Source organism: Homo sapiens, chromosome 4 (genome assembly GCF_000001405.40).
Source record: "Homo sapiens chromosome 4, GRCh38.p14 Primary Assembly".
In the NCBI taxonomy this organism is placed as follows: Eukaryota; Metazoa; Chordata; class Mammalia; order Primates; family Hominidae; genus Homo; species Homo sapiens.
The window spans coordinates 130,220,164-130,236,036 of NC_000004.12; the positions used below are offsets into that span (position 1 = coordinate 130,220,164).

The following is a 15,873-nucleotide window of genomic DNA, read 5'->3' on the forward strand; positions in this document are numbered from 1 at the left end:
TTGATGTAAGTTCTTTTTTAAATGTTTGATAGAATTCAGCAGTGAAGTCATCAGGTCCTGAGCTTTCCTTACATGATAAACTTTTTTTTCATGATAAATTTTTTTTCATGATAAACTTGTTATAGTGATTCAATCTTTTTACCTAAAATGTACCTTTTTGGTTTATCTATTTCTTCTTGGTTCAATCTTGGTAGGTTGTGTGTGTCCAGGAATTTTTTTTTTATTTCTGTAAGGTTTTCCAATTACTGAAATACATTTGTTCAAAATAATCTCTAATGATCTTTTGTATTTCTGTGGTATCATTTGTAATGCCCTTTTTTTTGTTTCCATGTTTACTTATTTGTATCTCCTCTTTTTTCTTAATTAGTCTGGCTAATGTTTTGTTGATTTTATCTTTTTTTAAAAAGCAACTCTTTGTTTTGTTGATCCATTGTATTTTTGTCTCAATTTTATTTCTACATTGATCTTTATTATTTCTTTTCTTCTACTAATTTTGAGCTTGGTTTGTTTTTGCCTTTCTAGTTTCATGAGAGGCATCACTAGATAGTTTATATGGAATCTTTCTATTCTTTGTTGTAGGCATTATTGCTATAAACCGCCCCCTTAATACTGTTTTTGATGTATTTCTTAGGTTTTGATATGTTGTGTACATCTTTTTGTTTGAAGAAATTTTTATAATTTTCTTATTAATTTCTTCCTTAATCCATTAACCATTCAAGAGCATGCTGTTTAATTTCCATGTATTTATGCAGTTTGAAAATTACTTATTATTAGTGATTTCTAGTTTTATTTCACTGTAATTAAAAAAAATACTTGTTATAATTTCATTTCTTTTAACTTTGTTGAGACTTACTTTATGGCCTAGCATTTGGTCTATCCTGGAGCATGCTCCTTGTGCTGATGAAAAAAATGTGCATTCTGCAGCAGTTTGATGTAATGTTCTGTAAATGTTTGTTCGCTTCATTTGGTATAAAGTGCAGTTTCAATCCAATGTCTCTTTTGTAAGTTTCTATCTAGATGATCTGATCAGTGCTGAGACTGGGGTGTTAAAGTTCCCAAATATGCCTGCATTGGAGCCTATATACTCCATGAGATCAAAAAATATTTTCTTTTTATATCTGGGTGCTCTAGTGTTGGGTGCATATATATTTATAATTGTTATATCCTCTTATTGAATTGATCCCTTTATCGTTATATAGTATCTTTCATTTCCTTTTTTCTTTCATAGTTTTGACTTAGATTTCATAATATCTGATCTAAGAATAGCTACTCCTTTTAACTTTTGGTTGTCATTTGTATGGAATATCTTTTTTCAGTTTATATATGTTTTTATAGGTGAAGTGAGTGTTTTGTAGGCAGCATATGCTTCAGTTATGTTGTTTGGCCGTTTAGCCATTCTACATCTTTTAAGTGGGGAATTTAATTTATTTACATTCAAGATTATTGTTGATGGGTGAGTAGTTTATCTTCTTACTTTGTTAATTGTTTTCTGGTTGTTTTGTATAACCTTTGTTTGTTTCTTTCTCTTATTGTTTATCATTGCAGTTTGGTGGTTTTTGGTAGTAATAAGGTTTGATTGCTTTTTCTTTCTTCTTTGTATATCTGCTCTACCAGTGAGTTGTATACTTTCGCATGTCCTCATGATGGTGATTTTCATCTTTTCACTTTGAGATGCAGGGCTCCTATTAGCATTCCTTAAAAGGCCAGTCTATTAGTGACAAATCTCTTAAGTTTCTGCTTGTATGGGAATTTCTCCTTCAGTATTTTGAATATATCATTCTATTATCTCCTGGCCTATATAGTTTCTGTTTAAAAATCTGCTATTAGCCTAATAAAAATTCCTTTATATGTGACATGATGCTTTTGTCTTGCTATTTTAAAAATTATCTTTGTCTTTTGAAAAATTAGCTATAACGCGCCTCAGGAAGGATGATTTTTAATTTAATCTACTTTGAGAAATTTGAGTTTTCTCAATCTGGATGTTCATATCTCTCCTCAGATTGGAGATGTTTTCAGCTATTATTTCATTATATAATAATTTTAAAAGATATAATTTTTTAAAAATATTATTTTATAAATAAAAAAATACTTTTTTTTTTGAGATGACGTTTTGCTCTTATTGCCCAGGCTGGAGTGCAATGGTACGATCTCGGCTCACTGCAACCTCTGCCCGTCAGGTTCAAGCAATTCTCCTGACTCAGCCTCCCGAGTAACTGGGATTAGAGGCACCTGCCACTACTCCCAGCTAATTTTTGTATTTTAGCAGAGATTCGGTTTCACCATGTTGGCCAGGCTGGTCTTGAACTCCTGACCTCGTGATCTACCCACCTCGGCCTCCCAAAGTGCTGAGATTACAGGCATGAGCCACTGTGCCCAGCCATTTAACAGCTTTTCTAAGCCTTTTTCTATTTCACCACTTTTTGCAACACCCATAATGTGAATATATTTACTTAGCGATGTCCCATAAATCTTTCAGTCTTTCTTCACTCTCTTTTTCATTCTCAGTTTTTTCCTTTGACTAATTTTAAACCATATATCTTTACCTTTAGAAACGTTTTCTTCTGTTTGATGAAGTCTGGTGTTGAAACCCTCTATTGTAGTTTTAGTTTATTCATTGGATTCTTTAGCTGCAGAATTTCTGTTTGGTTCTTTTATAATGTCTGTCTCTTTGTTTACTTTTTCATTCACATCATAAATTGTTTTCTTGATTTTGTTGATTGTCTGCCTGTATTTTCTTGTATCCCATTGAGTTTCCTTAAGATTACTGTTTTGAATTCCTTTTTCTGCAATTCATTGATTTCCTTTTTATTGAGGTCTATTACTAAAGAGTTATTACATTCTTTTGACTCTGTCATATTTCCTTGCTTTTTCATGTTTCCTATGTTCTTGCATGGATGTCTGTAAATCTGGTGGAACAGTCACCTCTTCCAAACTTTCTAGAGTGGCTTTAGCAGAAAAAGACTTTCACCTGAATTTGAGGTTAGTGTGAATTTGGATCTTTCACTTGCAAAGTGGGTCTTTCTGTTGGGAAAGGTATGGTGGCTGTTGCCAGGTAGGTGCAGTAGTATAGTCTCCATGCAGCTTATTTAGCTATGTTTCTGTATCAGCAATAATTATGGGCATTTCAGGGGCCTAGGCTGTAGAAGTTTGTGGTAGCAGAATAGGTTGTTAATGTCTTCAGTGGCAAGAGGTTTTTGGCTCCTTCCATTCTTTTTTCTTACAATGAGGAAACTTGGATGAGGGATGCCTCTTGATAATAGGGCTGACATGGCCTAAAAGCAGCTGCCACAACACTGGGTTGTAGGTATAGGTGCGCAGAGCAGTTATGAGCCCAGGATCCCAGGCTCAGGATCTTACAAATCTATTGTGACAAATAGGTCTTGGGGTGCAAATTAACTGTAGCACCAGAATTTGTGACTCTCACGCACTCTCTAGCAGCTCAAGTCCAGGGATTCAGGTTATAACTCTGATTCTAGCCCTGGGGGTAGGGCACAACCCTGGATTCATTTCAGATAAGGAGTGCTTTGGAAGTTTGAGTCTGTGAGGGAAGATATGGCTGTAATTCAGGAGCCTGAGCCAATATGGCTCAGTGTCACCTCAGATCCTGGATAGTAGGCACTGCATAGTGGAACTCTATACCCTGGGGTGCTGGGGCTCTGCAGTGTTCCAGATTCTGTGAGACCATGTAAAGTGACAGCAAATACCCTAGAGTGGCTGAGCATGGCTATTGTTTGGGTGCTGTGGGACAGGGAGCAATACATTGATGACTCCACTCCCCAGGGAGAGGGGCATCTCACCAGGTCAGTCTGTAGGGGGCTAGTCTAGCTTCAGGGAAGCAGGATACTAGAGTTATTTGTCTTGTACTGTGGGGTGCCTCAGTGCAGCTACTGCTCTGTTTTCATAGGACGTGAAGTAAAGTGTCAGCTCAGCCCTGGGATGTGCATCTGTTCAGCTCCACCAAGGCACCAATTTCCCAGGGGGTGATATGCCACCTCAGTTCAGGTCCCGGGTGTGTGACTATTCTGGGTAGTCCAGGGACCATTTTCCTGGGATACAGAGCTTGCCAAACATTGTTTCCTGGGAAGGCAGTGTGCAGTTTCAGCTAAGGTTTCTAGGAGCAGGGCACAGACACATCTGAGAAAGACAGATAGAGCTATTTTGCCAAAGAACCCTTTTCCCAGGATGGAGTGTGTATGTATATTCCCAAAACTTCCCTGCTGGAAGGAGGGAGGGAGGGGCAGGTGGACTGGTTCAACTACTGCTTAGCCACATAGGGAAAGGTGTAATAGCTGCTGGCAGTTCCGTTTGGGAGTGTGGGGTCATTGGGTGGGAGTAGTTCAGTGGTGACTTAGCCTCAGAAATGAAGGAGTGCTGCAGCTACTTGCCCCTAGAGCAAGAAACACTCCAGAAATAGTTCTGGTTTGAAGATGATGTATCACAGTAGCTGCAAGGAGCACAGTGGGAAGGGAACAGTGTTGGCCCCCTCTCTGGCAGGAGCACAGTGGTGTGCACTGCTGGGAACTCTTTCACCTGGGCTTAGTGCCTGTGAAAACTGCAAGGACCCTGAGGATGAGAACCGTAGGTGTCCAAAATATTGGTAAGGGTTGTTTGGATCCTCTTACTCACCTTAACACTGTAGAGAGAATCCTAGTTCCTGGCTGATCCTGGCTGGGAGATGTGATGGAGTCCGAGTGTTTCCTTCCATTATCTATGTATTTATTCTCATTTTCTGTGCTACCTAGGAATTTTGTTAATCTTTGGACATACTCTGGAACATTCTTTTAGTTACTTTTGTTAAAATATAGTTGTTTATTCATTGTTTAGCTGTCTTTGTGGAAATGTTCGGGATTTTTCGCGGGACATCTTGTTTACATCACTCCACTAAATGAATTAATCATTTTCTTGAGAGCAAGGCATTTGAAACTCAAAAGCAAGGATAATATTCTTAAGTTACTTGCTCTATCAATTGCTCCTTCGTTGAGGCAATTAGCCAGGAAAATTAGCAGCTGCTTGAGTGAATTTTGTTACTGAGGGAAGGGTTGGATAAAGATGAGGAAAAAAATCTCAAGAAAACATTCACATAATATATTTCAAATATAATATTGCCAGGTTGCCAGGACTAGAGCATCAACATTACAATCCCAGGACTACTACAAGCTCACAAACTCAGCTATAAGAAAAAAATCAACACAATCTCTCTGGGAATGCGTTTTTTTTTTTTTCCTTACCTACAATAATGCATGCCGTTTATGCTAAAATATTTGAATTGAGAAAATGAAGATAATGAAAATAACAATTGACAAAGCATTCTTACAATACTTGAAAAAGAGCTGTGAAAAATTTTAATAATTTCAAATGTTGAATTAAAAAAAATTAAAAAGAAATAGGTTGGGTACTACTCCTGAGCCAGGTAGAACTAAATTTATGCATTCATTTGTTCACCTCTCTTACAGCATTTCAACAATACAGTTTTTGCCACATAAAATCTTTAAAAAGTAAAGATATAGGGTGCAGCTATATCTTTGATGCATTCTACAACATTTTAAAATGTTCACTCAGGAACAGTCTACTAAGGATTAATAAATATGAAAATAGCATTATGATTAATGAACAATGGGAGCTGTAGTATTTTGTATACAGCACTATTCTTATTTTGAATGTTACAGTGGATCTTTCCAGCACATCAGGATAACCACAGTAGTGTGGAAGATGCTAAAGGAGCCCTTGTGACCAATCACAGATGATTGACAACTAATCATCATAAATTAAACAATAGGTTGCATATATCAATCTGCTTTTCAGGATTAGACCTGGAAGGATAAATATGACAATATTAAAGTGGACACTGAGAAGAGATGCTACACTTCAGGCAACAAATCTTGTCAGTGGTGGACCATGGTAAGTGATTTTGCCATTCAAAAATGAAAGTAAGGATTATCGCATGGAAGAAAGTACTTCTGAGATATTTGCTTTCAATAGGCATTTCAACATTAAAATATGCTTAGAAAACCAAAGAGTGGGCGGAGCACTGTGGCTCACACCTGTAATCCTAGCATTTTGGGAGGCCAAGGTGGGTGGATCACCTGAGGTCAGGAGTTCGAGACCAGCCTGGACAACATAGTGAAACCCCATCTTTACTAAAAATACAAAAATTACCATGCCTGTAATCCCAGCTACTCGGGAGGCTGAGGCAGGATAATTGCTTGAATCCAGGAGGCAGAAGTTCCAGTGAGCTGAGATCACTCTGCTGCATTCTAGCCTATGTGACAGAGCGAGACTCTGTCTCAAAAAAAAAAAAGAAAAGAAAAGAAAGAAAATACAGGACCATTTGTAGTAACAGCTACCCAGCTCTGCAAAAGCTACAAAACTAATTCACTTATAAAGCCTTATAGGAATTACGGAAATGTGTAGAGTGTAAACCTAAATGCCATAAGTAGCTACTATACTCTGATTTCTCTTGCTTCACTGAGAGAAATAGTTGCTGAAGAAAGTGGTGTTGGAAGAGGAATGCTTTTGAAAGGTACAGGCAGTCTATGAAGTCAAAGATAAGATCTAACCTTCAGCTATCTTCTTAGTATCTTTTGAGGAAAACATGAACCCTATATACATTCAAAACTATAAATTTGCTGGTATACTAAAATGATTAAGTAAATTTAAGGGAACAACTTGAATTTCCAAAAAATAATTAAATATGATACCCCTCTGTTGACAAAGACAGGAAATTCATAAGGAATCACCATATGGAGATAAACTATGAAATAGAAAGGTAAGTGATTGAAGTAAGATGAAAATATAAGAAAACTCAAACTTTTAACAAGTAATTTGTTGGGAACAAGCCCCCCCAAATCTGGCCATAAACTGGCCCCAAAACTGGCCATAAACAAAATCTCTGCATCATTGTGACATGTTCATGATGGCCGTAACTCCCATGCTACGGGAATGAAGGCAAGGAATACCTGGCCCGCCCAGGGTGGAAAACCGCTTAAAGGCATTCTTAAGCCACAAACAATAGCATGAGTGAACTGTGCCTTAAAGACATGCTCCTGCTGCAGTTAACTAGCCCAACCTATTCCTTTAATTTGGCCCATCACTTCGTTTCCCATAAGGGATACTTTTAGTTAATTTAATGTCTATAGAAACAATGCCAATGACTGGCTTGCCGTTAATAAATACGTGAGTAAATCTCGGTTCAGGGCTCTCAGTTCTGAAGGCTGTGAAACCTCTGATTTCCCACTTCACACCTCTATATTTCTGTGTGTGTCTTTAATTCCTCTAGCACTGCTGGGTTACGGTCTCTCCAACTGAGCTGGTCTTGGCATAATTAAAATTTATTTCTAAGGCACTATCAAGCAGAATTGACACTTCCAAAATAGTCAGTGACTTGGAGAAGAAACTTTGAAATTTTTCAAAATAAGAGAGAACACCAATAAAATAAAAAGAGAGTGATTATAAAAGATGAGGTCAAGGAACAGATATTCAATAAAGGGCTAGAGTTATAACTAAACAGGCAATCAAAATCATACAAATAGAATTTAACAAAATTCCATAATAATAAGATATAGATAATAAATCAAGATTACAAATGAGAACATTTCTAAACTCTCTACATGTGTATGATGTATAATGAGTTATATATAATTGTAGTTATATGACTATGTAATGATAACACATCATTTTATATACACATACACAACACACTCAGTAACAGGCAAAATTCAAATCAAAAGTAAAGAAAACAAATATACAAAAAATCATCTTATTCTTAAATGTAAGTTGACTGAAAACCTTCCTGATAACATAAACAATTAACACATATTTCATATATTATATATTGTATTCTTACAAGAAAGTAAGCTTGACTAAAGAAAATGTTATTAAGAAAGTCATAAAAGGAGAAAATACATTTATTATTCATTAGGTGGAAGTGGATCATGATGAAGGTGTTCATTCTCCTCCTGTGCATATTGAGTAGGCTGAAGAAAAAAAGAAATAAAAGGGGTGGCAGAGGCAGAAGAAAATCTGAATATAAGTAGACCCACACAGTTCAAACCTGTATTGCTCAAGGGTCAACTGTATATGTCAGATATTACATGAGACATACTTAAATTTAAAAAAAGTTTTTTATCTGAAATTCAATTGTAAGTCGACATTCTGTATTTATTTACTAAATCTCACAACCATGCCCTGTCCCATTTGCGATTCCGTCTGTACTAAGTTTATTATAGTTTCTATTAGCTTTTATCATGGAATATGGGAGTACTGAGGTTCTCCAGTGGTTCTCTTGCAATGTAGACATTCTGCTTTTTGCACCCATTGTCAGTTGGCAACCCAGTCTCCCCTCAATAAACAGGATAAATGTGCCGCAGACTAGACAGTAGGAGTCACACCCTCTTCCTTGCCTGTTTGAGTCACTGACATGAGTGTTTTATTTTTTCCCATAGGCAGTCACAACTTCCGGTTTAATTGAACCATTTTTGTTTTCCCTAGTGTAAGCATTTTTCCTTTGGGAACAAAGGACATTAGATGAGCAAAACTCAAAATTCTGGGGACTGGAAACAAAAATTCACTACTGGATCACAACAGGTAATAGAAACTAATCATATTTTCATCCTTAATATCTATAGTCATAAACCTGGCTTTGGGAGAACCAGCACTGCACATTGGTCACCAATATAGAGGACATCCTGAATGTCATCACTGAACTTGGAAATTTGTTGCCCAACTGAAATTGTAACTATATTATTAAAAGATCTTTCCATCTTTCTATTATGCCAGCTGCTCAAGAGTGATTGGCAACATGGTAGATTTCATGAGCATGGGTCATTGGCACACTAAATTAGCCATAAAATAACTTCCTTGGTTGAAAGCAGTGCTGTATGAAATAACATGGTGAAGAGTAAGGCATTCAATAAAATCATATATTGTGTTTTTGTGCATAAGCGTTGCAGGCAGAAAAGGCAATTTAATGTCCACAAAAACTGTCTATTCCATTAAGAAAAGGTGCTACCCTTTCCAGTATGGAAGAGGTCCAAGAAAATGAACCAGGTAGCTGGCTGATTCCCCAAGGGAAAGATGTCATATTATATGCTCAGTATGATTTTTGCTGTTGGCTGTTGTGGCACTAAGCAGCAGCTGTAGTTTTATCCACCTTTGTGGGCAATAATACATGTTGCTTAGCTCAAGCAGAACCTCCATCCCTTCTGCGGTGGCCACTTTGTTCATGAATTCATTGATTAGGGACAGAGGTGTCTAGAAAAATACCTTGACTGACATCTACCAAACTGTCACTTTATCTGCATGATCATTAAGATTCTCATCTGCTGAGGTCACTCTTTAGTGAACATTCATATGGGGGACAAATACTTTCATATTCTGGGCCCATTTGAAGAGGTCTATTTGCATACCTATTCCCTATACTAACTTGTCTCCAATTATCTAATTATTGAACTTTGTTCCTTCCAAGTCCCTGGTCATCTTGCCAAACCATTAGCTAGAGCTATGAATCAGTTAGGTCTAAATCTCTGGCTCTGTTTGTGTCCAGGAAAGATGAGCGTTCAAGTACACTATTTGAAGTTATTTCCACTGACAAGATTTTTCTTCATCACTCTCCTTCATGTCACTACAGTCACTTCAGAGTTGAACTGTCATTCTACAGTCATTTACTCAGGTGGTGAAACAATATCTAGCAGAACCATTTGTAAACAAAATCTGAATAATTTCTTCCACAAACTACTGGTTATAGGGAATTCCCCAGGAAACCATATATATTTGTGGAAAGAGAAGGCAATGTACTAGAAATAGACGTCATGGACATCTGGGCAATCTACTCTTTAAACTTATTTGTATTTTCAAGACCTGATTGTTCATGCTCTCATATTCCATTTGAAAATAGAAACAATTGTGCATAACAAATTTATGGCTTTGGCATAAATTCATTCATAGCAACTTGGTGTCTCAGGGGCTCATGGTAAAATATTCAGTTTCTGTTGAACTTCAATAGAAAGCCAAAAGCTGTTTCTCAAAGGAGAATAATCGTATATAGAGACTGGTATAGGTATGAACTAAAATGTAAAGGTCTGTGCTTTAATTCACTTCTGAGAAGCTGCTATGCACATTTCCGTCTCCTACCAACATTTAGAACACCATGAGATCTTGTGATTGAGAAAATCACAGCAGAACAGCTTTTATGGCATTTTGGACTTGTTGAAAATCCCTTATTTGTTTTGGGCTCCACTAAAAACTGTTGGGTTACTTAGTGATTGGGTATGAGTAGCACATTCACATGAGATTTATGTTTCCTCTAAATTCTACAAAAGAGCAATAGTCATTATATTTTTTTCTCAGTGGTAAGAGGGGCCAGATGGAGCAACTTGATCTTTACCTTAGAGTATACTGACACATCTCAGATCACTGAATTCCTAGAAATGTCGCTGAGGTGGCAGACACTTGAATTTTCATGAGAATTATTTTCTACTAATTGGCTCACATATGCCCTAGCAGGGTATATAAGTAGTTGTTGCTTCATTCTTCCCAGTTCCAGCTCCATGAAATTATCAGTGGACCAGGGTAATATTCTGTGGAAGGGAAAGGTGATCAATTCTTTGCAGACTAGGTTTGGCATGGAGGTGGCAAATTTAGATAGCCTTTAAGTAAGACTGCAAAGGTATATTGCTGGCTATTCCAGCTGAATGCAAACTATTTCATATTGTCTTAATACAGAAAATAATGCTTTGGTCAGATCAATAATCATATGTCAGATATCTTTGTGCACACACCTACACATGCACACACATCCAGAACATCCAGAACACACATCCAGAACAACAAGTGCAATGAAATCACATTTTCAAGTATATGTAAATACACTGCCTTTCTCCAAATACTTCTGTCTTCTACAGAGGCCAAATAACCAAGTTAAATAGCTACATGGCGATAATCAACACTCCTGCATTTGTCAAGCCCTGGATGGTGGCACGGATCTCTGATATCTCTCCAGATAGGTGACATTGCTTTGGTATATTATTTTAATAGATAGCAGCTTCTACTCAGTCTTTCCTACCACCACAGCCCTTAGTCCATTGATCATGCAACAAATATAGGAATTTTGTCATTTAGCCAAATACGTTTATTTTAACTATGCATTCTAGAATTGGGGAAATAATCACATTAGCCATGGGCAGTGATAACCAGAAAGTACAGACAATATGTATGTTTTCCTTCCTTCAGTTTCTTCATTCTCTAAGCTATTTTTGTTTAAATTATGAAAATAAATAATTTTGCATCTAATTTCATTGACAATTATACAGTGGTCCACCCTTATCTGTGGGAAATATGTTCCAAGACCTCCAAGTGGATACCTGAAACTGATATAGTACCAAATGCTATATACACGATATCAATCGATCTGTTAACTGAGATGGCTACTAAGTGACTAACAGGAAGGTAGTGTATATGGAGTCGATATACTAGACGAAGAGATGATTTGTAGCCTGGGTGAGACAACATGGGTTACTCAATTTAAAGCTTACAGATTTTTTATTTCTGAAATTTTTCATATAATATTTTTGGACCCAAGTTGACTGTGGGTAACTGAAATGATAGAAACTAAATGATGGATAAAGGGAAACTACTATAACACCATCAATGAGTGTGTTAAGTATGCAAACCAAAGCATATTAAATTTAACATAATTTATATATAAAGCTACTGACTTAAAATTTTTATCTACATATTGATACAACTCTAAAAATGACATGCCAGGACATATACACAACCAGGCTTAAATGTCCTGCTATCATATGCCTTCAATTTATAGTGATACTAATTTTAATCAATATTTGAGGATCATTCATTGTTAAACTTTTAAAAAATTTTGAATTAAAGTTTGAAGCAGTCCATGAATACAGACGTTTTGTCCTAAGACACTATTGTTAGTTAATTTAAAGTCCCTTCCTTCATCATTGCTAAGTGCTGTAGTCTGTCATCCATTCTCCAAATGAAATGTGACTTTGATGGATAAACTCAATTAAAGCTCAGGCATTAGATAAGTTCAACAGAGAATTGGGCTGATCTTTACCAATCTACCTTTAAACATACAATAAGTATTTCAAAATGAAGTAGTCATAAATTATACTGAAAATATATGCTAGTAAAATTAGGTTGAAATTGGAATCAATCACTCTATGTAAATTTCTATTACTTAGAAAGCAACATTTATTTCCCTTCCCCTTGAGTATTGTATCTTACATATGCTTTTAAGACGTAAAGTAAGAGAAATGCCTGTTGTCTTTTACCTTTTTAGAAATTTCTCTCTCTTTTATAATGTCTAAGTTTGTTAAAATATCTAGTTTCAAGACTAACAGTAAGAGTTTATCCATAACCTGAGAACCCTCACAAGAAATTATGTTTAGTTATCTTTAATATTTTTAAAAACAACTTTGTGTGTGCCTTGCCTATAAAGACCTTTAATCTTATCATTGATATTTGACTCATTCATTTAGTTATTTAATCATTAAACTAAAATTTGTATCTTATCTATGATAGATACAAGAAAATGATTTGAGTTATACAGATAAAGTATGTAGGAAGAGACATGTAAAGGAATAATTTGGTTTCTTATGATAAATCATTTTCTAGACATATATACAGAATATGAAAATAACACAGAGACAAAGGCATCTAACACCATCAGAAGAATCAAAGAAATCATTAAATTACAGCATTTATAATAAAAAGAACTTTTCAGTGTTAATATTCAATTCCATCATTTTGCAGTAGAAATAACAAAGAGAATTTGATTATTTTTCCTGCATGAATATAGCCAAGGAGACTATTCTTTTTAACAATTAAGATTTTGCATTTAAGAAGGTGATAAACTTGAATTCATATCCCTGAACTAAAATCCATGTGAGCCTGGGATCCAGTTTCTTCAACTTCCAAATGGAAATAATAATAATAAATTATCTCATGGTGCTTTATTATGGGATTACATGAAATAAAACACTTAACAGTGCCCATTACACTAGCTTACATGGTTGTTGTCGGTATTAAATGACTTAATACTTGTAAGGTACTGATAATATTATCTGGTCTCAAAAGGCTCCCTATATATGGAAGCTTTTCCTACTATTTTTCATATTATTAGTGTTGAGATAATTTATAATATTATATATATTTCTGTTAATTGAAATTTATGTAGAAAAATTCATTGCCTTAGAGAAGAATATTAGGACAGAAAAAAATTTAAAGTTCTTTTTGAATGTAAAATATCTGGATTTTTCAGGGTTCCTTGGAGAAATGGCTGAGTCTAGTGTTGGGGTGAGACATATACAAGATGAGCCTGGAGCGTTTTGTAGTGCCAGAAAGTGAGAAAGTGCTCAAAAGCCAAAACTGAAACCAAAACAAACCAAAACAGAAACTAAAAAGCCCACAATGATGACTATATGTCAAAGGGAAAGAAGAACCAACCAAAAGTATTTTCAATGGCCAAAGCCAGAAAAACGTGAACAACAAAATAAACGACACAGTATTACATTATAACTCAAACTATTAGAAACAAGTGATGGAATAAATAATGGGAACAGATTAATAAATCTCCTGGGCCAAAGGAAATTTTTGTAGCTATTCTGATGTCAAGAAAGGTGAGCATAACTCCCCATTCCTTAAATGAGGACTATGCATAGTGACTTTTTACCAAAGATTACATCATGGAAAGAAAGAAAAAAGGGTAATTTTACAGTGGAGCCAACTAATAAACACTACCTCAATTGATGCAAGACTAACATCAACAGTTATTAAGTCCTGGTAATAGTTTGTGCCTTTGATATGTTATGATAAGAATGGCATATTACCTTTGTGATTTTCCTCCCCAAAAGATACAATCATAGTCTAATCATGAGAATAATATCAGACAAATCCCATCTGAGGAACATTCTGCAAAATACTGAACAAGTGCTTCTTAAAATTGAAAAGACCACCAAAAAGGGAAAAACTGAAATTGTCATAGTCAAGGGGAGCCTGAAGAAGTATGATGATTAAATGCAGTATAGTTTCCTGAGTGGGATCCTGAAACAGAAACAAATACACTTGGTGAAAACTAAGGAAATCTGAATAAATTATAGAGTTTAGTTGTATTATCTATTAAAGGTTTTATATAATATTAAATATATTATGCATTAAATATATTAATATTTGTCTATTAGTTATAACAAAAGTGACAAATTTTAACAAGAGAAAGTTTGTGTGAAATATGTGAGAACTCTGTACTATGTTTGCAAATTTTGTGAATCTAAAACTATTCTAAGATTTAAAAGTTTATTAAAAATCTAAGTTTTTGACATTTGAGGCCTAATCCTAGAGATAACTCAAAGTATAAACAATAAGTTTGGAAGATCCTTGTTCTGTCATGTATAGGTTACCTACTTTTAAATTAGGTACATTTTTTCAAACTAGATGAGAAGAAAAGTTGTAGAGGAGAGAGGAGATACTAGCAAAATTTCTGGATGGATTACTTTGCTAAACCAGAGCCTGTGTCAACCATCGTCTTTGTCTAACCCATACAAGTAATTTTGTAATCAAATAGTACTGGGAAATAATACAATATTGCTGATAAATTGTAAGTTGAATGTATGACAACAGCTTCAATTGATTTTTTTTAATGTTACATGAAAGGTATTCTTCCAGCCATTAACTTTTCCTCTCCATGTGATTTTTCACGTCTTCCCCTCTCCTTATTCTGAGCTGATAAACTTGCTCCTTATTTTACTGAAAAATTCAAAGTAATCAGAAAAAATCTTCAACAAGTTTCACAATCTACTCATCTAACTACATAAGTTTTCATATAATTTGTCTTTTTTCTCTTGCTATTATGAAACAGCCCTCCTTCAATTTTTGTCCCTTTTTTCTAACATAGGGACATGGCTCAAGCCAACTCATGTCTCCCCTTTCTTTCCTCTTTTTCTGCACCACTGATTTTTCTTTTTTGGTTGATAGAGTAACTTCATAAATATACAAATATGTTCTTGGGGGAAAAAAATGAACTCTCTTGATTCCACTTTCCTGTCCAGATATTGCACTATGTTTTTCCTTTGCCTTTATTGAAAGAATTGCTATACCCCCATCTTCATTATCTGTCCTCCTGTTCTCACATCAACCTGCATCAAGTGAGCTATCATGTTTACAATTCTAGAAAAGCCACTTTTAACAATGGAAATATCTTACTGTTTATCTTAATTAATTGAACAGCAGCACTAAAGTTGATTATTCCCCTTCTCCTTCAAATATTATATTCATTTGGCTCTTAGAATACCACAGTCTGTTTTGTTTTCACTTAATTCTATGGCCACTCCTTCTCAGTTTATTGCCTTCATTCCCTCTCATATCCCAGACCTCTTAACTTTCTATAGTCTCAGAGTCTAGCCAGTGTGTCTCCATAATTTCATTTGACAAGAAATCCCCTCATATTGTCTTCAATTTTCATGGAAAACCCTTAAGTTATTTATAACCAATAACTCCCAAACATATATATCTCTCTAGACCTCTTCTCTGGTATCTGGTCTCATATATACAGTGGTCTGACTCAACAACCTTAATGGGAGTATTAATAGGAATCTTAATATGTCCTAAACGAAGCTCTGGCTTTTCTACAAAATGAACAAACAAACAAAATTTACTCTCTTAAGCTTTACCAAGTTTTGTTATTGGTCACTCTATTTTTATAGGTATTAAGCCTTGGTTCTGAGAATTTCATTTGACTCTACTCTTTCTTTTATATACCACATCAAATTCTTTCTGCGTGATTAAAAAAAAATACTTGGACTTTGAAAATTTTTTACCACCTTACCTCTACTACCCTGGTACAAGGCACAATTGTTT

At 35.3% G+C, this 15,873-nt stretch overlaps 1 annotated feature.

Moving 5' to 3' along the window:
- Window positions 1,831-2,000: an enhancer, noted in NCBI's record as "experimental_74389 CRE fragment used in MPRA reporter constructs". NCBI's record gives its function as "activates a minimal promoter by MPRAs in K562 erythroleukemia cells, with activity observed for both the introgressed and non-introgressed 4:131143234 variant alleles {active_cell/tissue: K562}" and the evidence as "EXISTENCE:reporter gene assay evidence [ECO:0000049][PMID:34662402]".